This window comes from Homo sapiens, chromosome 4, assembly GCF_000001405.40.
Source record: "Homo sapiens chromosome 4, GRCh38.p14 Primary Assembly".
Classification (NCBI taxonomy): Eukaryota; Metazoa; Chordata; class Mammalia; order Primates; family Hominidae; genus Homo; species Homo sapiens.
This window is the reverse complement of record NC_000004.12, coordinates 74918257-74943301: the sequence shown is the minus strand read 5'-3', so window position 1 is coordinate 74943301 and position 25045 is coordinate 74918257. Positions and strand designations below refer to the sequence as shown.

Here is a 25045-nt window from a genome sequence, read left to right as displayed (position 1 = left end):
ATACCACAGCAAACAAGAGGAACAAAATCTCTGTCCTCCTAGAGCTATGTTTTAGTGAGGGGTAAGGAGGGATGGAGGAAGATATGCTTTAAAGAAAAAGTAGAGGCAAGAGTCAGATAAGAGGCACTGGGAATATGGTGTTGGCAAGTGGAACAGACTACAATTTTAAGAGGTCGGTCAGGGTAAGTCTCATTGAGAAGGTGACATTTGACAAAAGTTTTAAGGAAGTGAGGGAATTAGTCATATGGGTATCTGGAGAAAGCATACTCCAGACAGAGGACTTAGCTACTATGTGCTTCTGGTAGTCCTGTGGCTGGTGCAGAGTGAGCAAAGAAGAGTGTAGAAGATCAGATTCAAGAACCAACGAGGCCCCAGCTCACGGAGGTCTTGATGGTCACTCTAAGATTTTGGCTTTTACTCTAAGAACAAAGAGGAGCCATTACAGGGCTCTGAACAGAGCAGTGACTGATATAGTTCCAATGAATTCGCTGTTGCTATGCTATGTAGAAAACAGACCTAAGAGGGGAGGGGTGAAAGCAAGTAGATCTGAGAGGAGGCCACAGCAGTGCTCTTAGAGAAAGACAGTAGTGGCTTGAACCAGAGTGGGAGAAACTGAGGTGGCAAAACGTGGTTGGATTCTGTACATATTTTAAAACTAGAGCAGACAGACTTTCTTGAAGGTTGGGATGAGGAGTGTTAAGAGAAAAACAGGACTCAAGAATGACTCATGATTTGCAGTCTGAGCAAATAGAAAGGTGGCATTTCCATTCATTGATATGGAGAAGGCTTTAGATAAGCCCCCTAGGGGAAGAAAGTCTAGGAGCTCAGTTTTGGATATGTTGAGTTCGAGATAACTATTAGATATTCAACTACTGACTTCCCTTTGACTAAGTCAAAATTTATCATCCTCAAAGAATGTAAATTCCCTGAGGGTAGAGTTTTGTCATTGCTCATTAATGTATATCCAGAGCCTTGGACAGTGTTTAGCACATGTAGATTCTCAATTAAAAATTAACTGAATGAAAATTTATAAAGCACACACTATGTTTCTTGCTCTGTTCTACGTGCTGGGGATACAACAGTGGAAAAAAATACCACCAACATTTCTTTTCTCACGCACCTTACAATCTCGTAGTGGGAGACAGAGAAAGCAAATGAAGTAAAATAAAATAAATCCTTTGCCTGTTGGTATACATACTTGATAGAGACTGGTTGAACGTTTAGTCCCATGGCACTCTAGGTATATTGTCATAACCCTACAAGGAAGGAAACTGAGAGCACAGAGTTGGTATTCCTTGCTGGTCTATCTTACTCTAAAGCCTCTGTTAGCACACCATATTGCTTCTCATGTAAAATAACACAAATCCCTTCATCATCTGACAAATATCAGGGCTATGGTTCTCTTCGTATGAACCTCTAAAGGAGAGTCTTCTCATAATCAGATTGTTTTTGAAGAGCAGTTCTAGGAAGGCTGCCTGGAAGTAAGCAACCCCAGACCACTTTGCCCTCCTTAACTGAGCCAAACCATGTAGCTGCTTTCATCTTTACATCACAGGGCATTTTCTTATTCTTCACCCCCTTTCATGATGCCGAGGTTACCTTAATTACCCACCATAAAGTCTAACACATCATTTCATCTGAAAGGCTCACTTTGTAACTTTCCACAGAACTAAGGAGGCACACTAAAACAAATACTATATTCATATAAATTTGAAGAGGTATCCCTTATTGCTCTAAAAATGAAATCAAATGAATTTTTCATATCTAGCAGTAGCATCTAGCGTTGGTTTGAGCCTTAGTACTCCAAAATAATTTTAATCCTCCTCCTGCTCCCCTGATTCAGCCATTTGATGTTTTCTTGGACTCATGAAACTTTATGCCCCCAGCTTCTCCTCCGTAATTTTTGCAGAAATTCTGAAACAGCCACTGTCCCTGCCTACTGTGCATTTCTTACCACATTTCTGCACGTAATTTGATATCACACTTCCTGCCCCCAGCAACATTTCCTAGCATGTAAATGATGAATATTTTTTCTTGTGCTCTGACCTATCTGAATAGGTCTCCAAAAAGGAGACTATCTGGGCTCTCCTCCTGAATGTCATTTCCATCAACATTGTAATTTTTAAGATAAAACATCCAGGGTTCCCCACTAGTTGAATGTGGTAAAAGTATATGTCTTGATGTTGCCTTTCAGTCGGCAATGTTCATTAATAGCAAGAATTCCCATGATAAGTAGAGTGTGTGATCTACCAATAACTTGCCTCTTTTCAAGGCCAAGAAAGACATCTTCAATCCACCAGATTTTCTTTAGGACCCTCTGGTGAACAAGTGGCAGTGAGGTCACCTCATGTTGTAATTCTGAGATATACTGAAATCCTCTCCTAATAAGACACATTACATTAACTCAATAGAATGACTGGGATCTTAAACATCGCCCTAAATACATACAGACAGTGCATTGTAACTAACATACTAAATAAACAGACACCCTTTAATCTTTAAAATAATTGTTACTGTTCTTCCTGAAGAGTCCAATTACAGTACAAAGCAAGAGTCCTATAGTATGGAGTGGTCCTACAGTATGGACCAATCAAATAATGGTCAACACCAGTTAGTTGAGGTATCTATCTCCTGTCTATCTGTGGGATTGTGCTATGGTTTCAATATTTGCATTCTGAAAAAAATTCATATGTTGAAATCCTAATCTCCAAGGTAAAGATGGTATTAGGAGGTGGGGTCTTTAGGAAGTGGTTAGATCATGAGGATAGTGTCTTATAAAAGAGGCCCCAGAGGGCTGCCTTACCCCTTCCACCACATGAGGAAGACACAGCTAGTGAACCAGAAAGACAGCCCCCTCCAGACGCAGAACCTGCAGATGCCCTGATCTTGGACTTCCCAATCTCTAGAACTGTAAGAAATAAATATTGTTTATAAGCCACCCTGTTTATGGTGTTTTGTTATAGCAGCCTGGATGAACTAAGACAGATCACAAAAGCTTTTCCTACAAAACTAAAACCATGTCATAAAGGATAGAGGACCAATAACTATCCATTATGGATACAATAGTGGGTGAATAAACTCTGTAAGTAATGAAGTTACGCTTGTGTACTACCCCTGGTAAAAATATCACAACATAAAAGGTAACATGTATTTTGTTAACTTCGTATTAGGAAATATAAGGTGTTCTAACCTCTAGGAAGTCTGAATGGTAGCTCCAAGTTTAAAACCATGGCCAAAACAAAACAAAACAAAAAAAACACACAGATAAACAAAACCCTCTCTCATCTAATTCCTTTCATGTTTAACACCTGCACTAAAGTTCCCAGGTCCTTATTTCCTTGTTCATTGAAAAGAAAATCAAATGTTGGAATTTGGAATGTAAGTGGAAGATGTTATCATCAAAGGTGTATTCCACCACTCACCTTATTTTGTATTGAATAGACATGTTTTCTAAATATCACACCTGGTAATTTATCTTAATATTTTTTCCACTTAACAATAAGGTATTCACAGATTTTTTGCCTTAGGTATAAAAGGTACAAATATCCACCACAGTTCAATTGATCAAAGGATTTTTTTAAACATCTGTCTTAAAATTCTATATAATATGTTGCTTAAGGCTCTATATAGCCACAGCTTCCAAGTAATACCAATAGACTTATCCAGCAGGGATTATGCAAACCTTATATAATTAATATTTGTGAGATTTCTCAAGATCCCGGCACAAAAGACAGCACTGAAATTCAAAGCTTTCAGTTTTAATCATAACTTTCTTTTAAAAAAAAAGAGTACAGAAGGCTTCGAGTCCCAGCCCCTATAGCAAGATCATTGCTACCATTAAAAATATACTTTTTTATATAAAGGAAGAGTCAAAGGGGGTTAAAGTCATTTAGGGAGGCTATAGAAATCCCATCAATGTTCAGGAATACACAGTTAATGGATATATAATCAGAATCAAAATATCTCATTGGCATGAATGCTGCCTCTAAATCCTAATCCCTATAGTTGCTAACCCAGAGAGCTGCTCTTAAATCTCCATGTTTTCCCATGAACAGATTATTTCTAATGAAATGGTGCAGGGTAACTAAAGCCCCATGAGGCAGGCTTCAAAATAAAGCTAATCCTGTATCAAAGTCACTGTATAAATGAACTGCAGATGAAAGGCCAAAAGTATGGTTGGCAGTTAAAAAACAAGACAACCAGTTGAATCTGAATTTAAGATAAACAACAAAGAAAGATTTGGTCTAAGTAAGTCCCAAATATTGCATAGAATGTACTTAGAATTCACTGTTTATTTTACATTCAAATTTGACTGGACAACCTTTGTTTTTATTTGCTAAATTTGGCAATACTAGCCAAAGGAAAATTAAGACTATTTTCAATTGACATTATACCATCCTGCACCAATGAAAAGCACAGATGAGACAAATTCTATAATTGTCTATTTCATTTTAAAGACTTCTATTACTTACACAATGGCAAAGTTCCCAACATCTATAAGCCATGTTAAAACAAGTGAAAGAAATTGGCCATGCTGGTGTAAAGGATTATGATGAACATTTAAAGATTCACACATCAGAAAATACAATGTTACATCAACCCTATCATTTAAATAATTTAAGCTGTAACTAAAAAAAGAAATGTCATGAACTATATACACAAATCAATCTTACTGAATAGTTGCCCGGCTTGCAGATTAACTAGATGACAACCTATTAGCTCTGTATTTCTAGGCAAAAAGCAAACATTGGATAAAGCAGACATTCACTATCTACCCACCTCTTCTCAGAATTACCACTGTCTTGTACATAAAACATCAATTTTTCCAAGAAACTGCTTCATTTGATATCTTATGAACAAGACAAATAAGTTTGATTTATAAACTAATGTGCCCAATTTTAGTGATAGATACTTCCAAATGGAAGCAAACTGTTGTAACTGTTATTGCAGGATTCCTTCATTTAGATTTAAGACAGTCAAATTCATTTTGAAAACACTTAAAAAATGTTGCTGTCCATTGCTTCCGGTGGGGTGTTATAATCCCCTTAGGGTAAATTATTGCTTAAGAAAGTCTGCTTAAACAGTATAATATTTGACCAATATTTTTCTCATGAAAACACAAGCACAATTTGACTGGGGTCAAATGCTGAAGTTAAATTAGAGATACGGCAATTATTGATTATTGCTATTGTTTTGGAGCATTCAGACAAAATGACCTGTTTTTTCCTAAGTTATTAATCTGAATTATCTCAAGTTTGTAGCTCTGGGGACCTGACCTTTAAGGTTTAGCTGAGTTGAGTTTTTGAAACACACCAGTTTGCAAAAGTTTCTATGGAAGAAATAAAGTCCTTGGTGAGACTTTACATCTATTTGTTACTGAGCATTTTTTGGACTCTTGCACTAAATCTGAGTTGGCACATTATTAACCTTTTCAAATTAGGCATTTAGTAGGCTCAGAATATTTTCTTCATTTGCACATTGGTTTGCTGGAACAGCTGGCACTGCACTGGAATATTAGTTGAGATCTTTGATTTACATAGTTCAAGTACAAACACATAAACTCTGCTTTTGGAGAGGATGACCTAATTAGTGCAGCATATAGTACACTTCATTAATAAAAATAATAGCAACAACAACAGCTAACACTTATTGAGCATTTGCTATGTCTCCAGCACTGTATACCTATAGGTATATTCAGGTATTGAACACTTTCAATAACTCCAATTTTTTATTCTCCAAATTTTGTAGATAAAAAAATGCAGAGTGGTTAATGTACTTGTCCTCAATCACATAATTAGTAAGTAGTAAAACTTAGATTTTTACCTAGGCAATCTAGCTGCAGAATCTACGCACTTAACATCTTGAAACACTGCCTCTGTAAATGCATCAGATAACAACAGAGAGTGTTCATCCACCTTCTCAGGTCAGTTTTCATGTGAAGGAAATGTCACATCTTTGACTGTGACCACAGATTTCAGGGGAATAGGAGTTTCTCAGGCTAAGGAATGCAAGTGACTCTTCACAACCACCCCCAACAAATCATGATCAGCCTTCCTGTTCCTTTACGTGTGTGCACAATTTTGTGTATTTTAATATATGTGTGATAAGGCTACTAAGCTGACATATATCAAGTACAGAGTCATAAATGTGCAGGGTGAAGTAAGTCTTCCTTCAAGGATAAGGACATTTTAGATGTTAGTTACCTGGAGAAGAGGTATCTACCAGATCCAGAACACAAATAGGATCCCTAGCTGAGTGGCAGACTGGGAATCTAGCTCTCTGGTGATCTACATCTTAATCACCAAGGGACCAATACGTCTGCGCAGGGTGCCTGGGTAATGGGTGGAAGGTCCTGAGAGGAGACAGGGGCAAACAGAGCAGACCCAGGGCGGTAGAAATAGGACCATGAGGTTTGTGCCTCTCTTACCTAGTGTCCTTCCTTTTTGTCCTTCTTGAGTATTCAGAAAATGCCTTTGAAAGTTCTAACATATCTCATACTTCACTGAGGGAGTTTTTAAATAAATAGGGCCATAAAAAACTTGAACGTGCCCGGGCGCGGTGGCTCACACCTGTAATCCTAGCACTTTGGGAGTCCGAGGCTGGTGGATCACGAGGTCAGGAGATCGAGACCATCCTAGCTAACACGGTGAAACCCCGTCTCTACTAAAAATACAAAAAAAATTAGACGGGTGTGGTGGCGGGCGCCTGTAGTCCCAGTTACTCGGGAGGCTGAGGCAGGAGAATGGCGTGAACCCGGGAGGCGGAGCTTGCAGTGAGCTGAGATCGCGCCACTGCACTCCAGCCTGGGAGACAGAGAGAGACTCCATCTCAAAAAAAAAACAAAAAAACAAACAAAAAAAAAACACTTGAATGTAACAACCATGGTGGCAAGAACAAAGGAAGAGAATCCCGAGGGGAGCAGGAGAGGGATAAATGTGGAAGCTACCAGGGGCCTGCCATTCTCGTTCCCTTCTTGGTTTTGGGGATAAAGGTTGGAGGCTCTGGTTTGTATTTTAATCTGGAATCAGTACTCCAATATGCCTTATCCTGGCATAAGAAGTGTTTGAAAATGGTTTATAGAATAGACATCTAGTTTTCTACCATAATCAACCTTGAGAGAACTGAAGACCATCTAAGATTTCTCTCTCCTTTTAGAAATAGAAGTGAGGCTGGGCACAGTGGCTCACATCTGTCATCCCAGTACTTTGGATGACCAAGGTGGGAGGATCACTTACGTTCAGGAGTTCAAGACCAACCTGGGCAGCATAGGAATACCCCCCATATCTACAAAAAATAAAAAAATTTAGCTGCCTATGGTGGTGTGAACCTGTAGTCCCAGCTACTCAGGAGGTTGAGATGAGAGGATGGGGAGGCCGAGGTTGCAGTGGAACTGGAATCGCGCCATTGCACTCCAGTCTAGGTGACAGAGCTAGACCCTTTGTCTAAAAATATATAAATATATTTATATATACCCGAGTGAATACATGTAGAGATCTACCCTTGTTGGCTTGTTGACAACGCACACATATTTGCAAGTGTCCATTGTATGTGCTGGAGGAAATACTATGTATACTTTGAGAGGATTTGTTGAGCCAAAAAACAGGCCCCTGCCTAATGCTGTTCCTGGCTCAAGAAAGTATCACCTTAAGAATTTTACAGAAATATTGTTGAAGCCTATGGCTAGAGGAGGAAAATGAGAAGGAAACAGAAAAGACACAAGGCCTGGTGAAACTAACTAGAGATTTGCTAGGGGAGTTCTGGGATAAGCCCCCAAAACACATGTGTGTGCACTTTCACTTCAAGAGCCCTCATCCCTTTCTTCTTTACCAACACGTCTATTTTTTTCTTTAAAAATGATATTTTACATTCTGAAAACACCTTAAAATTAAGGTGCAAAGAATCTCATGAGGTATTTATGCCAATTTTTATATTATTTTTTCGGACGATTTATTGCAAAGTAGCTCTAACAACAAACTGACGTCTTAAAGAGATTCCTTCAAAGGCACAAACTTCAGGGGGAATGCAGTGTCCATTAGCTTCATCATTTTCAGCTTGGGATATGCATATCGAAGCATAACTAGGGAAATGAGGCAGTATGTCTTCCTGAGTCTCGAGCCTCACAGCTGGAAGGCTGTGACCATCTGGGCTCTGATCCTAATTAGTGCGTGGGGGTAGGAGTGGTGCTCAGCCGGTCCCTGGCCCACCAGTCTCCTCGCTCTAGCGGTGGGTCAAGGGTGATATTCCTCCCGGAATAGCGGAGCTAAACTGTAACGCTGAATAAAAGAAAAAAGAAAAAAAAAAAAAAGAAAAAAGAGCTTCTTGGGGTGGGGGTGGGGAAGCTACAATACACTGTTTGTTAGGGTTAATCCCGGTTTTGACAACTGCCAGAGCTGTTTAAAAAAGGAAATGATTAAATAAACAAGACAAGCCACTAAATCAAATTTGCAAACGAACCTCTCTACTGACTCACTCAAGGGTTTCTGAACCTCAAGAAAAGATTTTTGAGTGAGGAGAAGTAAAGGTACCTTCCGTGTCATTACGTAAGCATCTCCTGCTTTGAGGATTACAGGAATTACCACCCGCAGCCAGCCGGGAGCTCCGCTGCCTATTGCACCTGCCGGACCTAGGCTCTCTCATCTCAGCCCGAGGCTGGGCAGCCAAAGCCGCCTGCGAGTATTCGGGAACTGTCCGCGGACGCGTCTCCAAACCGTGCCGAGATACCAGCGAGAAAGAGGTTTTCTCAGACGGACGTTCACTAAGTAGAGAAAATACGCTATAGTTTCAAGTTGGGAAACTTTTCCTTATAACTGCATTACCCACTGTGAGCTGCCTGAAAACCGCTAGCTTCTTTTCAAGGGATTGCGACGACTCGTGTCCACAACTGTAGGAACCCGACGAACTCAGAGGGAGGATATACAGACTAAAGCACGAGTAGAATCGGTTTGCGCTATGTGACTTTGGGTCACATTTAAACTGAAAATGCCAGTGGCCGCGCAGTCGGGCTACTTTTCCCAGCAGCACCATATCCACAGCCAGTTGTCCCTTTTCGGGAGACGTTTTCTGGAAAAAATAGGTACCTGAACTCTAGATTCAAAGCGTCTTTCTGAATCTCTCCCCGGTCCCCGCCAAGCCGAGCTCAGTCATCTGGCTCCCCTCTTCCCCATCCCCGCTGCCAGAGGTCGTCGCCGTCTGTGGTCCCGAAACCCGAGAGTGGCTCCTACGAAGCCTTTCAGAGGTGGTGCAGGGGGAGGGGAGAGGATGCTAGTTTAGCCAAGTTAATAGTTTCTTCTATGGGATACGTTTTTGGGGAGTTCTGGGGCAGAAGGTAGCCTTGCTACCCCCAGTGACGATTGCGAGCCTGACCAAGGCCGGGCCGCTGCTGTTAGTGCCACATCATCCTAAGCATAACTAGGAAGGGACGCCGGAGATCAGAGACCGCCAAGACTCGAGAAAGCAAACCAGCCCCGCCAGGCGCGCAGCCGCTGCTGAAGCCTTCCCAGATGCGAACCTCCCACCCCCACTTCCCCGGCTTTTTCATCCCTTCCAGGGCCCAACGGCAACAAGAAGTCTGGTCCCGTACTTTGGCAGAGTGCGCTCCGAAACCCTGGTGAAGAAAGAGAAGCCTTGAGGCGCAGTCCGTGTTGCCCACTCTGGGTTCGAACACGCAGCTAAGACAGCCACCTGTTCTACAAAGCTGGAGTTTGTGCGGGCGCGGGCTGCGGCAGGAAGGACCCCATCGTCCCCTCCCTCAGTACGGTTCGGGACCGCCAAAGGTGCACGTCACCCCAAATCTAAGTGCGCACACACCTGCGCACTCACCCGGAGGCGCGCGGCGACTCACTGCCGGATCTCCTAGCTTCAGCCCCGACCACGCGCTAGCTACTGGGGCCCACCCCGCGACCTGCCCTTCCGGGAGGATGGCGCCAATTACCTGCAGTTAAGATGCAAAGAGCGAAGAGAGTCTTGTAGACCATGGTAGCCTGGTATTTGGTGCCCAGCCCGGGGCGGGCGGCAAGGAGTTTGCGGACTGACAGAGCGCACTGGGCGCTGGTAGCGACTCCTCTGCCGGGTGGGCTGCGGTGGGAGCCGGGAGGCGCGAACAGCTCCAGTGGAGGGCGCGAGGCAAACGAGGCGAACGCAGCGCAGCTCCGTCAGCTGCGTGCCCTCCGGTGCTCCGCGCTCTTCTGCTCCATCCCAGCCGCCCGAGCCCGGGGCCGCCTCCGCCTCCGCCGCCGCCGCCGCGCCTGCCGCTGCCAAACCCCTCCCACCCGGGCCCCGCGGCGATGACTGGGCCACCCCCTGGCCTTCCTTCTCTCAGCCCTCAGGTCCCGAGAGCCCCGGCCCAGAGCGGCCTCTGCTGGACAGTCAAGACACGAGACCCTGGGTTCAGCAAATGTTTGCAGCGCCTTGCACTGTGCTGGGAACTAGGGATGCAAAGAAATGTGAGCACATCTCTGCCCTTAGGAATCTAGCTCAGCTTTTCCTACATGAGCTTACAGCCTTTAAAAAGGTGACCTTATGCCATTTTAGGAGTTCCCTCGGAGAACCGGCACATGTTCCAAGAATGAGGACCTTCTTCATTTGTCAAAACACTTCTGCGTGTACATCATTAAACCCTCATCCACATTAAACCCGGCTGAGCTTCCTGGGGCCCGAACCAGGATGTCTGCCGCTGCATTCAGCTTCTTACTAGAAGAAAATACTGTCGGGGGGATAACTAAGCCAGACACCCTACTAGGCGTTGTTTCATGAATCCTTCTAAGAATTATTATTATTCCATTTTACAGGTGAGAAAATGAAGGCACAGAGAAGACAATGTTCTCAAGGTCGCATAACTGGTAAGAATAGTTTGTGCACTAGGCCCATAATAAAGGCTGACGTTTCCTGAGTGATTGCTATGTGCTAGGCACTGGACAACGTGCTGTTCAGGAATCAACCAAGTCATTTAGTTCTCACAACAATCCTTGGAGATTATATCCTCGTTTTCAGGGGAGAAAGTAGAAGCACAGAGAAGTTTAACTTGCCCGAGTTCACACAACTCGCAAGTAATGATAAGATGCCTGCCCAGGCACCCCGCTCAGCCTCTGTACTCTACTCCCTCTCAAGAGCCCAAAGCTTCTCCAAAGCCTACAGATTAGAACTGACCTTTCATTCAGTTCCCTCCCTGCTCTTGCTACACTTTAGGCTTGCTTAATTCTCACACTTCGATCAAAGCAGATGCCAGGTTCTCTCCCAATTCTGTTATTAATGAACCTATTGGTCCCCTAGTCACTAGAGCTGGGGCACTGCAGGAGTTAACAAGCCTTTGTAAAGAAATGATTTGCGTGGAAGGCAGCTTTCTTTTTTCTGTAATATCTTCTTCATATGCCATGGGCTCTGTTCTCACTTCTTTCTCACATACCAGAAGCTGACTCTAGGAGTCCTGAGCACCTTATCTATGGTCAATTCCTCTGCCTGACTCTATCACACTACCACTTGTAGATTTTGCTCACACTTCCACAACCAGATTAAATTTGGATCATATTTTTTTCTCTTTGTTTTGGTAAATCTAGTAATTTCTGTTGGAATGAGAAACAAAAAATACTCAGACCAAGTGCCCATCCCCTCTCCATCCTCCCTGGCCAGATAAACTGCAAATTCAATTTGTTCAGCATGTTCTCTGAATGCTTTTGACTTCAAGGCCCTTCCGGTTTCTAGGGTAATCTATGTGATTAGGAACAATTTCTGCATCTGGGTTTTGGTTGTCATGGATGCAGGGACCACACACAGATGGAGTTATGCAGCGACATTCTATCAGGCATTAGCCCCTTTAAATAGGGCAGGTTAAGTAAGTGACTCTATGGCAGAAATATAGGTTTTTGAAGACCACTTCACAGAAAAAATTTATTCAATTGAAATTCAGCAAAACTTGAAGGAGTCTTTCTGGAGTGCGAAGCATGTGCAACTCTAACCTTGATATCTAAGATAATGGTTTGGTACTCAAAGAATCATGACCCCTACACACTAATCAGTGAAAATTTCCAAAACTTTTCTATTGTACGCAGGATAGAGTTGAAATAATTTCTTTGATTAAAATAGTTCATTTTAATTGCTGATTAAAAATTTTAATTTATTAATTAATTTAGTCAGAGCATATTTAATCACTTATTTTACGCCAGCCCTTATGCTAGGCAATGGAAATACAATGGTTGTAATAGCCAGGGTAGTGTAGGTTATGCTGCTGTAACAAACCAGCCCAAAGTCTCCCAAGCTTAAGCGATAATGGTTTATTTTTTGCTCATCAAAGTCTGCTATGGATCCAGGTTACTCCTCAGAGTAGCTGTCCTCAGGATCAGTGTTGTACCGCCATATCGAAACCTGCTTTTGTTACAGTAGGTAGCTAGATAGGCATGAGTGGGGCAGCAGAGGGCTCCCCCCACACCCCACCAGGAAAGTCAGGTAACCATCATGTGATGGCCAGGCAGTTATTAACTGTCTCTCTAAAATAATAATTGGTTACAGCTGGCACGAGGGACTGACCATCTCCCCATAAATAGGGAACACATGAAACTGGTAATCAGCAGCTTCCAATAAGATCTCAGGAGGTGGGTGACTGAACTCAAGCATGTGCATTAAGATGCAAAATGGTGGAGTTTAACTGGTATATGACCTTCTGGGGGCATTAAAGCAATGCAAGACGCCAGAAGTAGACCAGCATGTAAAACCCTAAGTGCAAGGTCAAATGGGGCACTTGACGTCCAAGATGCCCTCTTAGGCCTCTTCCAACTGTGCTTTCCTTTCTTGCTGCTCTAAAGCTTTTTAATTAACTTCCACTCTTGCTCTGAAACTTGCCTCAGTCTCTTATTCTGCCTTATGCCCCTCAATTATATTCTTCCTTCCGAGGCAAGAATTGAGGTTGCTGCAGTCTCTGCCGGTGACTCAAATAACTTCCACCTCTAACAGTTTCACATCCACCTCTAACAGTTTCACATCCACTGAGTTAGGGAAAGAGAGAAGTGGAGAATTAAGTATTTAAATCTTCCACCTAAAAGTGACAATTCTGTTCATATTTTATGGGCTAAGGCAAGTCAATGGCCATGCCCAACTTCAAGAAAGCAAGAAAGCATGTTATTTTTGCGTGCTCAGATAGAGACGAGAACTCTATAGCAGGGAACATTGTGATATGTGCCACAGGGGCTAATTGTCCCTGCACCAGGAAACTTATTTTCTAGTAGTGGGGAGTTAAACATTGAATGAATAATCACAAAGACATATGCAATAACATTATATTAAATGCTACAATAATAATAATGATGAAAATTTATTAATTGTTTCAAGCATTTTATGTACAGTCATGTGTTTACATTTCTACACTCTAACTTTGTGAGATAGATACTGTAGAAGACCAGAATGTGCCACTTCAGAATATGCCTTTTCAGTATAAGCATTTGTTTGAGAAACAGCAGCTATAGGAGCAACTCTGAGAACAGAGTGGAATTACCTTTTTGTAGGGTGAATTTAAATCTATAAAGGAAATTTTCATTTGTAAAAATGTCTTCCTCTGAATTCTAGGAAGAAAAGGATGGCACTAAATTACTGGAAACTCTTATCAATGGAGAGGGCTCTGACTTAAATACGCATAACAAACTTTACCTTTGTTTGCCATGCTTTACCTGGTCACTTCCTCATAACTGCACCCCTACCCCCATACTCCTCTTTCTTTGTTTCAGCTGAAGATGATATTTAAGTTTGAATTCAAAGTCACCTCTTTGAAAATTACTAATTCCCTGACTATCTCCTGTACATATATATGAAATATACATGTTAATAACCTCGTGGGGTTTTTGTTGTTGTTAATCTGTCTTTTGTTATAGGGGATCCCAGCTTAGAACTCATAAGGGGTAGAGAGAAAAATTATCTTTTCTCCCCCCAAATACTATTATTATCCAAATGTTACAAAGTAAGAAACTGAGAAATACTTATACAGAATAAAACTTTGAAGGAAACTAAGGGATTCAATGAGATATAATAGCAGGGGAACTAGTACTCCTCAGTGGGGTCAAGGATGGAATTTGCATGTAACCCTTAGTTATGACTTACAGCAAAAGCCATTTTTTTTTTAGTAGAATTCTTAGTTCTTTTATAATACTCCACTGGGATAAAATCTCACATAAATCTACCTTTTACTGACTTTGACTCTTTTTTGATCATTGTTAAAATGAATTTTTAGTGTTGTGGACTTTTAACATTTTACCAAAAAAATTGCTCTTGGCTGACATAGATTTTTACATCCTGAATATATTATATTTTATAATTTTAGATAATACATTTTAGGTAATATAGAAGTATTGTTTCTGGATTCTTTATATCATGAGATGGTTTCATCTGGACTCTTGGCTTAAGTGAGAGAATAACTTGGCTGAGAGAGCTGCAGTGGTTAGAGGTTGGGTCCTAATCCCCTCTGCCATCTACTAACTGAGTGATTCTAATTAATTACTTGGCACCTCTATTCCTTTGTTTCTGTATCAGTCTGCTAGGGCTGCCATAACAGAACATCACCAACTAGGTGGTTTAAACAACATAAATGTATTTTTTCCATGTTATGGAAGCTGGATGTCTAAGGCCAAGGTGATAACAGTGTTCAGGCTCTTGACACCATTGCAAGCAGGAATTCAAGAATGAGTCAGAAAATAGTGACAGTAGGAGATTTATTGCAAAGTGAAAAGCATATACTCAAGAAAGGGGATTGTGGGGGTACTTAAGACAGAGTTGTTTGATGGAGTTTGGAGTTTCTGTCTTTATGGGCTTCTTTAACCAAGGGGTGGAATATTCATTAAAATTCCTGGAAAAATTTAGAGATTTCTCAGAACTGTGGTGCCACCTATTTTTTCACACCAAATATGGGTGTTCTCAGGACTGTCATGGCACTGGTGGGTATGTAATTGATAATGTTAACAATAATATAACGAGGTCCTAGGAGAAATCTAGGTGAAATCCAGTGCCATGTTGGATCCAGTTGGTCTTAGCCAGCTGGGTCCATACCTTGGGTTTTGAGGGTCTTATCAGTTCCTAGCTTCTGCAGCTATTTCAACAGTTTCCTTTTGCTAGTCATGCAAAACTGCTGTCTGGAATTTTCTATTCTCCTGTGACCACCCTGTATTATTCCTGTCTCAAAGGTGCTGGCAGTATTGGTTTCTGGTAAGACCTCTCTCCTTGTCTTGCAGGCGGCTGTCTTCTCACTATATTCTCATATGACCTTTTCTCTGTATGTGCACACTCCTGGTATCTCTTCCTCTTCTTATAAGGATACCTGTCCTGTTGGATTAGAGTCCCATCTATATAACCTCATTTAACCTTAATTACTTACTTAAAGCCCTATCTTCAACTATAGTCTATTGGGGGTTAGGGCTTCAGCATGTAAATTTTGGGGGACACATTCAGTTCATAACATTTCACCCTTTGGCTCCCTCAAAATTCATGTCCTGTCACATGCAAAATACATTCACTCCATCCACCCCAACAGCCTCCAAAGCCTTAACCCATTCCAGCATCTAAAATCCAAAGTCTCATTGAAATATGATAAAAATCAGATATGGGTGAGACTTGAGGTCATTGTGAGGCAAAATTCCTCTCTAGCTATGAACCTGTGAAATCAGACAAGTTTTGTGCTTCCAAAATATAATAGTGGTACAAGCATAGGACAGTTTCCTCCTGGCATTATAGGGAAGATTGAATGGATTATATATATGAGAGGCTTGGTGTGTTCTTATTTTTTTTTTTTTCCGATGGAGTCTTGCTCTGCTGCCCAGGCTGGAGTGCAGTGGCGTGATCTCGGCTCACTGCAAGCTCCGCCTCCCGGGTTCATGCCATTCTCCTTCCTCAGCCTCCGGAGTAGCTGGGACTACAGGCACCCGCCACCACGCCCGGCTAATTTTTTTGTATTTTTAGTAGAGACAGGGTTTCACCGCGTTAGCCAGGATGGTCTCGATCTCCTGACCTCGAGATCCTCCTGCCTTGGCCTCCCAAAGTGCTGGGATTACAGGCGTGAGCCACCACGCCTGGCCAAGGTGTGTTCTAAGTACCAATAGATGTCAGCCATTATTAGAGGAGAAGCTTTGGAGTACATTAAAAAATTAAGTGTTCTAAAATACAAGGAGAAAATGGCTGGGTATGGTGGCTTATGCCTGTAATTCCAGCACTTTGGGAGGCTGAGGTGGGCAGATCCCCTTAGGTCGGGAGTTCAAGACCAGCCTGGCCAACATGGTGAAACCCCATCTCTACTAAAAATACAAAAATTAGCTGGGCATGGTGGCACATGCCTGTAATCTCAGGTACTTGGGAGACTGAGGTGGGAGACTCGCTTGAACCCAGGAGATAGAGGTTGTAGTGAGCTGAGATCGCATCATTGCACTCCAGCCTGGGCGATAAGAGCGAAACTCTTGTCTTAGAAAAAATAAAAAATAAATAAAATACAAGAAGAAAACATTAGTACCTGCTGTGGGTATTTCTTGACACACAGAACTATGTGTCTTGGGCTCTATCTTTAGTAATCACTCTCCTGCTACAACTGAGCTGCAGTGGAAAGCTCTAACCTATCTCTGTCAGCCCCTTCCCTACCTCACCCTCCTTCCCAAAGGCAAAAATGCAGCAGCCTCAAGACCCTGATATATTTTGTCTTGGCTTTATTTCTCTCTCTCCAAGAGGCATTGCAAAATATTTTCTTTGAGTCTGCCACATTTCTCCCCATTACTTTGCTTTTCTCTTCTTAACTCCAATTTTTAATTTTAATGGCAAAAAAGATTAAAGGAAGTAGTGCAATATGTGCAAAAGGGTAAATTTGGAACTCAGTTAAGAAAATCTGCTTGAATGGGGCAATTTTAAAAGAGTATGATGAAACATGATAATTTCTCTGATTTAAATAACATTGTTTGAGGCTGCATGAGGTACTTGAGGACAATAAACCATGTGTCAGTAATTTTTATTTTAATTAAGAATAAAGCCCTCTAAACCAAAAATAAAATTCTAAGCTCCCCAACCAACCCAATTGACCCTTCCTCTTGGCCAAGGGGATTCCAAAGTTAACTGGAAAAACTAGTTCAGGCCATGATGGGAAATGGAGGTCAGATATGCCTCATTAATCCTCCTCCCTTTGGAATTCAGGCATAGACGATCATCATTAACTTTAAAATGGAGACCTTAAGACTGACAAAACAGACTCATTAAGTCTGATAAAAACATTTACAATCTATTTTCTCTGAAGCCTGCTACATGGAGGCTTCATCTGCATAATAAGAACCTTGGTCTCCACAACCCCTTATCTTAACCCAGACACTCCCTTCTATTGATTCCAGGTCTTTGGATCAACTCTTTCAACCAATTGCCAGTTGGAAAATCTTTGAATTCACCTATGACCTGGAAGCTCCTAGTTTGAGTTGTCCTGCTTTTCCGGACCAAAACAATGTACGTCTTACATGTATTGACTGATGTCTTCTGTCTCCCTAAAACATATGAAACCAAGTCGTGTCCTGAACTACTTTGGGCACATGCTCTCAGGATCTCCTGAGGCTGTGTCATGGACATGTCCCTAACCTTGGCAAAATAAACTTCTAAACTGATGAAGACTTGTCTCAAATACCTTTTGGTTTACAGCCCTGACAATATTTCGGGAAGGAAGAAACTCCTTCTTGGATGTGACGCACATAATGAAATCTTCTATTTAAACTAGTGTAAAACTTAATTGAGTTGATCCAGTACTATCCAATAGAAATAAATTACAAGCCATATAGAAATTTAAAAATTTCTAGTAGACACATTTTAAAAAAGTAAAACTAAGTTATATTAATTTTAATAATATGCTTTAATGTATCTAAAATATTATTTTGACAGGTAATAAATATAAAAAATTGAGATATTTTACATTAAAAAAATTCAAAATCTTCAAATTCTAGTGTATATTTTATACTTGTAGGAAATCACAGTTCTGACATGAATTCATCTCAATTTCGAATGTTCAAAAGCCAAACGTGGCTAGTAGCAATCATAATGGACAGTGCAGTTTTAGAACCTGGACCTAGTCTTTTGCCATGCCTCTGAATATGTTCTATAAAAGTAAGAAACAGTGCTACTGAGGCTTTCTCAACTGACAGTACTGTGTAGTGGTTGAAAGCTTGAAACTTGCTGATTGCATGGACTGAGGCAACTTACTTAACCCCTCTAACCCTCAGTTTCCCAATTTGTGAAATGGAGATGATAATAATAATCCATTACTTCAAAGCGTTGTTTTAAGTATTAAATGCATGGAAATTATTTGGAGTTGAACCTAGACAGAGTAGACTCTTAACAAATATTTGCTGTTATTTTTGGTAGAAATGATTATGATGTTGAAAAATTGTTATTAACAGTAAAATCAGACTGGACATGGTGGCTCATGTCTGTAATCCCAGCCCTTTGGGAGGCCAAGGTGGGAGGACTACTTGAGCCCAGGAGTTCAAGACCAGCCTGGGCAACAGAGGGAGACCCTGACTCTACAAAACACAAAAAAATTAGTCAGGTGTGGTGATATGTGCTGTGGTTCTAGTTACTCAGAAGGCTGAGATGAGAGAAACACTTGAGTCCAGGAGGCTGAGGCTGCAGTGACCTGTGATAGTGCTACTGCACTCCAGCCTTGACAACAGAGTGAGTACCTGTCTGAGGTGGGTGGATCACGAGGTCAGGAGATCCAGACCATCCTGGCTAACACAGTGAAGCTCCATCTCTACTAAAAATACAAAAAAAAAAAAAAGTAGCCGGGCATGGTGGCAGGCGCCTGTAGTCCCAGCTACTCGGGAGGCTGAGGCAGGAGAATGGGGTGAACCCAGGAAGGGGAGCTTGCAGTGAGTCAAGATCGCACCAGTGCACTCCAGTCTGGGTGACAGAGCGAGACTCCGTCTCAAAAATAAATAAATAAATAAATAAATTAATTAATTAAATAAAAATAAAAATTAGTAAATAAAAAAAAATAGTAAAATCATGCCAAATATTTCTGTAATATTTGGAAGAATTAGATTCCTTACTACTCAAAGACACTGACAATGTCCCTTATCCTTAGAAAATTTACATATGCATAGTTTAGAGTAGCGTTTCTCAACCTTTTTGGTCTTAGGATCCCTTTATACCCCTAACACTTATTAAGAACCTGCCCTCCCACTCCTGGCCAAACTGTTTATTTAGGTTGAAGGAACATTTTAAGATCCCCTTCAGATAATTGTGATCTGTCCTCTTTTATACTACATGAATACTCAACAAGCAGTAGTTTCTTAAAAGTTTGGTGCAATACAGAATCCAAAAGCATTTCAGTGTAATTTTCATATTCTGTCAAATTAAAATCCATTGATCTATCTTATATCTTGAATATATCTTTTATCCCTGCATGATTTTATATCATAATGCATTGGTCACATAGAAAATATTGGTTCACCAAGTTCATTCAAATTTTAACGTATTTCGTTATACAATATCAAAAAGTCACATTTGTTAACATCTTCACCTATATCATCAGAAAAATCTTTAATCGTTGGAAACCATCAAACTAATAGTAAAAAATACAAGTTTCCCAGAATTCTGATATTCCCTTGAAAGCTTGAATCTTATTGGTACCAAATAATGTCAATTATTTTATTTCCTTCCTTCCTTCCTACCGTCTTTCCTTCCTTTCTTCCTTCCTTCCTTCCTTCCTTCCTTCCCTCCTTCCTTCCTTCTTTCCTTCTCTTCTTCCTTTCTTTTGTTTGTTTTTATTTTTCTTTTTATTTTTTTTGAGACAGGGTCTTGCTCTGTCTCCCAGGATCCAGGATGGAGTGCAGTGGCATGATCATGGCTCACTGTAGCCTCGAACTTCCTGCTTCAGCCTCCTGAGTAGCTGGAACTACAGGTGTGTATCATCATGCCTAGCTAATTTTTTTTTTTAATGTTTTATAGGGATGGGGTCTCTGTGTGCTGCCCAGGCTGGTCTTGAATTCCTGGGCTCGAGCAATCCTTCAGACTCAGCCTCCCAAAGTGCTGGGATTACAGGTGTGAGTCACTGCACCTGGCCAAATTTGTTTTGTTTGACATGACATGCTAACTTCATAGAGAAAATGTCTCACAAATACTGAAGCCTAAATAACCATAGTTTGTCTGTTAATAATGTTTTCAAATGAAAATAGTGTTTCATAAAAAAGTGGCTAGGTTAGCTTTCAATTCATCACATACATACATTTCCTTGGAACAACCACTTACTTTGGTATTCAGCAAAAATGCTTTATGCATACTTTTCATTCATTTATATGAAAAAGATGTGTGTTCAAGATCAAGATTTTATAAAAATTAAGAATTTTTGCTGCTTCATTAAGGACATTCATAAGGACATGAATGGTGGTAATACAATGACTACTAGTATAGTTTGGTGCCACTGCCTACATTTGTGTTAAAGCACCAGAAGTTTTATCCACAATTGCTTTTGTAGCATCAATGGAAAAATCAAAATGCAAAAAAAGAGATAAATAACATCTTAGTAATATTATGAAAATAGCTTTGACTCCACAGATGTAAAAGGATCAGACTCCTAGGAGTTTGTGAACCACACTTTGAGAACTGCTGGCCTAGAGAAATATCTTAGAAAATTGTGAAGGACATTAACTGTTTCAACTGCCTAGAGTATCCCTTTCTTCAGGTAAGTGTTCTTTCCTCTGCTTTAAGCAACTAGTTTCAATGGCGGTGGCTATTTTCCTATGGAGGCTGCCTCCTACCCTATGGGTGACTGGTATAGGGTAGACACCAGCCTCTTTATATTCAGTATACTTTCTCAGAATTCTTAAACTTGGAACCAGAAAATGTCACTAATAGTTGCTCTCTGGGAACAAAGTTATGAAGTTCTGGCATTTTGGTGAACCACCCAAGCATGTAGAAAAAGCTAGTCTAAAATAGGATAGATAAACCCAACTCTCAGAGAGAACCAGAAATGGGAGAAGGCTTGGTAGCATTCCAGTCCCTGGTTCCACTTGTCCTTGAGGCTCGACCACATTCTTGCCCTTCCTGCTACTCTGTAAGCATTTTGATAAATTTCCCTTGCCTCTAAACACTTTATATTTTCACAAACTTTATGAGTTTGTCCAACTGTCTTTTTTTCTGAACACTTTTGCTAGCATCAGTTGTTACACAGTTTAGTAGATTCCACTTCAGATTACGCTGAATTTGAGTTTTCTCGACTTTGAAAATATTCTTGACTGCAGTTTTACTCAGACCATTCATAGAGGCTATGAATTCATGTTATTCACTTCAAAGTCAGTATTAAATTATCAAATAAACATCAACAACTGAATAGTGTTTGGTAACAACTGTCAACTCATCAAGAGCCAAAGAAAAACACTAGAAATTATTTTCCTTCTTTCTTAATTTATCCAAAATTGACTCCCAACATCCTCAACTTATTAAGCAACTGTTCTCACAGAAAGATTAATAATCTAAACAAGTTTACTTTCTTTGTACATCTTTTTTTTGCTGTTATTGTTGCTACAATTGAATAAAATATAATTAACTTGCACCTGGTAAATGGCTTTTCTTGCTTGACTAAAAACCAAACTACTTGGAAACTTACTTTGGTTGAAGATTCATTTCAGACTTTTGTGGGAAAAATCTACTGAGATATTTTGTTTTGAAGTTTCAAATTTTTCTGACTCAGGGAGTATTGTACATCAAAGATAGTGTGGCAATTATTTAGTCTGGTACTGTAGACCTATGTTGTATTCTTCTAAAGTAGCAATGACATAATAACATGTATAAAACACAATGCTTACAATTGATTTAGATAACAAAATAATCTACTTTCCATTCTATTTTTAAAATGTGATATTCAAAATCTGTTTTTCTCTTCATTTTCTTGTTTGTTTTATTTTGGCAAGATGCGTATGCAATAACAATAAAAAAATAAGATAAAACGCAGTGGTATGTGCTGAATGTGTCCTCTAAAGAGCATGTATTGAAATTTCAATTCTTAATGCATTGTGTTGGGAGATGGGGCTTAATGAGAGATGATTAGGCCAGGGGGGTGAAGTGAATGAAGTAATATTATTATCATGAGAGTAGGTTTGATATAAAAGATCAACCCCTTTCTCTCTGTTGTGCCCACCTTTGCCCTTAGCCGTGAGATGACACAACAAGAAGGCCTTCACACAATGCCAGCCCCTTGATCTTGGCCTAAGTCTCCAGAAACATGTGCTAATAAATTCATGCTCATTATAATTTATGCAGTGTCTGGTATTTTGTTATAGTAGCACAAAACAAAGACAGGCAATACGTGTGACACTCAAAATGCTTCCAACCTATGCATTTTTCACTGTGATTTGTAGTGCACCAAGAAGCAGTGTGAAGCCATGAAAGTGCCACAGTCTCTGTCACAACTACTCAACGCTAACACTGCTGTTGTATGAAATTTGCCACAAGCAATAAAGAAATGACTGTAGCTCTGTTTCAATACAATTTTTGTTACAGAATCTGAAATTTGAATTTCAAATCATTTTCAGGTGTCTTTAAATATTCTTTTGCGTTTTTCCAACCATTCTGAGGTCACAGGTTATACAAAAACAGATTTGGCCTGCTGGCCATAGTTTATCTACCCATGCTCTAGAGATTTCCATTTGATTTTGCTACATGTTCTGGATTAGTTCAATCCTGTAACAACTTCAAATTATTAGCTTGGGGTTTCTTGAGCTAGTTAGTGTATATTCAAACTCCAAATCCATGTGATATTAGGGCTATGATTCTGATTTATGAGATAGACTATTTTCCGTATTTGTTTTGTTTCCTTTTTCACTATGGAGCTGAGCTGAGGTTTTTACAAATTACCTTCTATGTCTCCTTTTACCATCAGGCATATTTTTTTCCTAACATAGCTTTTCATTTAAGCTCTAGCTACTTTTCAAAGGCCCTGACTTTATGCAAGTTCAGTTCCAATATTCCAACTTATTGAAGCCAAGTAAGTCCTTATCTTTTGTGTCTCATGTGGCCATTAAACCTAGGGCATCTACTGCTTCAGCAACTGCTGGATACTCTAATTACAGCTCCATTCCCTGCTTTTTGGTTGCCCTAAAAATTTCCCTTGATTGTTTTCAAGTGTTTCTGTTTATTTATAAAAACTAATAGTTTATCCAGCACTTTAAAGATCTTTTGTAGGAGTAGGTATGGTTTTTCAGAATAACTAAGCCTCTATATTTATAGAAGTGAAAGTCCCTTGTATTTTCTTAGTTCTGTTTTTTCTTTTTCTTTTTTTGTTTTTCATTTACTTTCTCTAACTCAATTTCTAATTTAAGCTTCCCATCTCATTACACTGGTTGAAAACTAACCTTAGTTATTATAAGTTACTCCTATCTTTCTGGATTTTTTATTAACCGTAGCGGCAGAATCTTACGCAATGCTAAAATCTGGAGTTTAAGTGACAGCATTTGGTTATCGAGTCATCTGTTCATTCTGAAACGCTGTTTACTTCTGAGAATAAGTTATTCTCTGTAATACGGCTCTTCAGATCCAAGGGCTGTCTGCTAGGGTTCGAGTATAGAATTCTTTGCAAAGTTGCCTAGATTCCCACCAGTCATTTTATTGCTGAAGTATTCCAACTGCTATAGGGGCTATGCTTACAAAGTAGGTCACAGATCTCCTTTGCATTTACACCCTGAGAACTCTCTGTTCTCACTATTCAACCTATCCTTATAACATCGGGGATTTCTTGTTTTGGGGAAATCATATTCCTATCATGATTCTGGCTTAAATATGCTGTCTATAACCTAATTTTCTCCCAGCTTTAAGAATTAGCTGTTTAGAAACAAAGGCCTGGAAGATTTCCAAGCAATTTCTGATATTTTGCTATTCCACAACTCTTTCCTCCCTGCCCCTCTCCTCCAAGCTGGCAGTGAGAACTGAATCAATTTGTTTGGATGGAGACAGGATAAGAAAAAAGTACATCAATGTTTTAAAAAGTATTTTAGCTTAAAATAGTTTTCTGCTACACGTTTGAAAGGTAATGATAATCATTCTGACAAAAGCTGAGGGTGCTTGAAATAGGTCAGTGGCAGTCAAGATAGAGAGAAAAAAACAGATTTGAGATACATTTTAAGGTTAAAAGCAACAGGACTATTAACTAATGGCACGATGTGCAGTTGAGGGAGAGGCAAGAATCAAGTATGACTTCCAGATCATGCTGGACCAATTCTGGAGCTTTATTTATTGAGCTGTGGAATTCTGTGGAAATAAAGTATTTCGAGAACCCCTTTATATCCATTTTCCTACTTGAATTAGAATCATATTCTAAATGATTCAATAAATAGAGCGAATAACAGTTAAAGATGTAAATAACTAACGCTTATTCCTACCTTCTACCATCATTGATCCTCTACAAAATTCCATTGAGCACTCAGTTTATATTTCAACTCTGGAAGATTTTGAAATGGATGAAAGAAATTATTAAATACCCTTTAACTGAAGGCATGCCAGTGTGCACTTTTGCTTTTACTAAACTATTTTACAACTTTGTAGAGTTGTAAACCTGTAGAAAATTCATAGTAATATAAATTATTTTAGTCTAAGATATGCAAATTTTGTGCAGTGGAGTACAATTAATTATCACCCTGTGGATAATGACTAGATTTTACCAATTTTGCATCCATTTGTAAGCTTATTTCAGCATTTCTTCTCTGCCTACAAATGTATATTTCATGTTCTTTGAAGCACTTGTAATATCTCACTGGTTGCCTCATTTAACCAAGGAGTTAAATAAAACCCTTGACATGTATTATTGTTATTTTTTTGAGACAGGGTCTCACTTTGTTGCTCAGGCTGGAGTGCGGTGGTGCGATTATGGCTCACTGCAGCTGTGACCTTCCAGGCTCAAGAGATTCTCCTTTCTCAGCCTCTCAAGTGGCAGGGACCACAGATGTGGGGTACCACACTGGCTAATTTTTACTAACAGTTTTGTAAAGATGAGGTCTCACCATGTTGCTCAGGCTGGGTTTGAACTCCAGCTCAAGTGATCCTCCTGGACTGTATTCATTTTTCTTTTAGT

The 25045-nt window shown here is 40.1% G+C and overlaps 1 protein-coding gene across 2 annotated transcripts in view, besides 3 other annotated features; it reads right to left on the bottom strand.

The window, feature by feature from the left end:
- PARM1 (prostate androgen-regulated mucin-like protein 1) overlaps positions 1–10186 on the bottom strand; it is a 116998-nt gene extending 106812 nt beyond the window's left edge. Inside the window, exons 1-2 of one of the 2 annotated variants that reach the window (XM_011531833.1) lie at positions 9932–10186; positions 2804–2908 (exon numbers count right to left, since the gene is read on the bottom strand). In XM_011531833.1, coding sequence (XP_011530135.1) covers positions 2804–2908; positions 9932–9974 — 148 coding nt within the window. In that variant the 5' untranslated portion in view covers positions 9975–10186. The remainder of the gene's footprint in view (positions 1–2803; positions 2909–9931) is intronic. The other variant, NM_015393.4, reaches the window with a different exon arrangement.
- Positions 9253–9302: an enhancer, noted in NCBI's record as "active region_21615". NCBI's record gives its function as "activates an Ori minimal core promoter by ATAC-STARR-seq in GM12878 lymphoblastoid cells {active_cell/tissue: GM12878}" and the evidence as "EXISTENCE:reporter gene assay evidence [ECO:0000049][PMID:35858748]".
- Positions 9413–9462: a silencer, noted in NCBI's record as "silent region_15480". NCBI's record gives its function as "represses an Ori minimal core promoter by ATAC-STARR-seq in GM12878 lymphoblastoid cells {active_cell/tissue: GM12878}" and the evidence as "EXISTENCE:reporter gene assay evidence [ECO:0000049][PMID:35858748]".
- Positions 10043–10352: a silencer, noted in NCBI's record as "silent region_15479". NCBI's record gives its function as "represses an Ori minimal core promoter by ATAC-STARR-seq in GM12878 lymphoblastoid cells {active_cell/tissue: GM12878}" and the evidence as "EXISTENCE:reporter gene assay evidence [ECO:0000049][PMID:35858748]".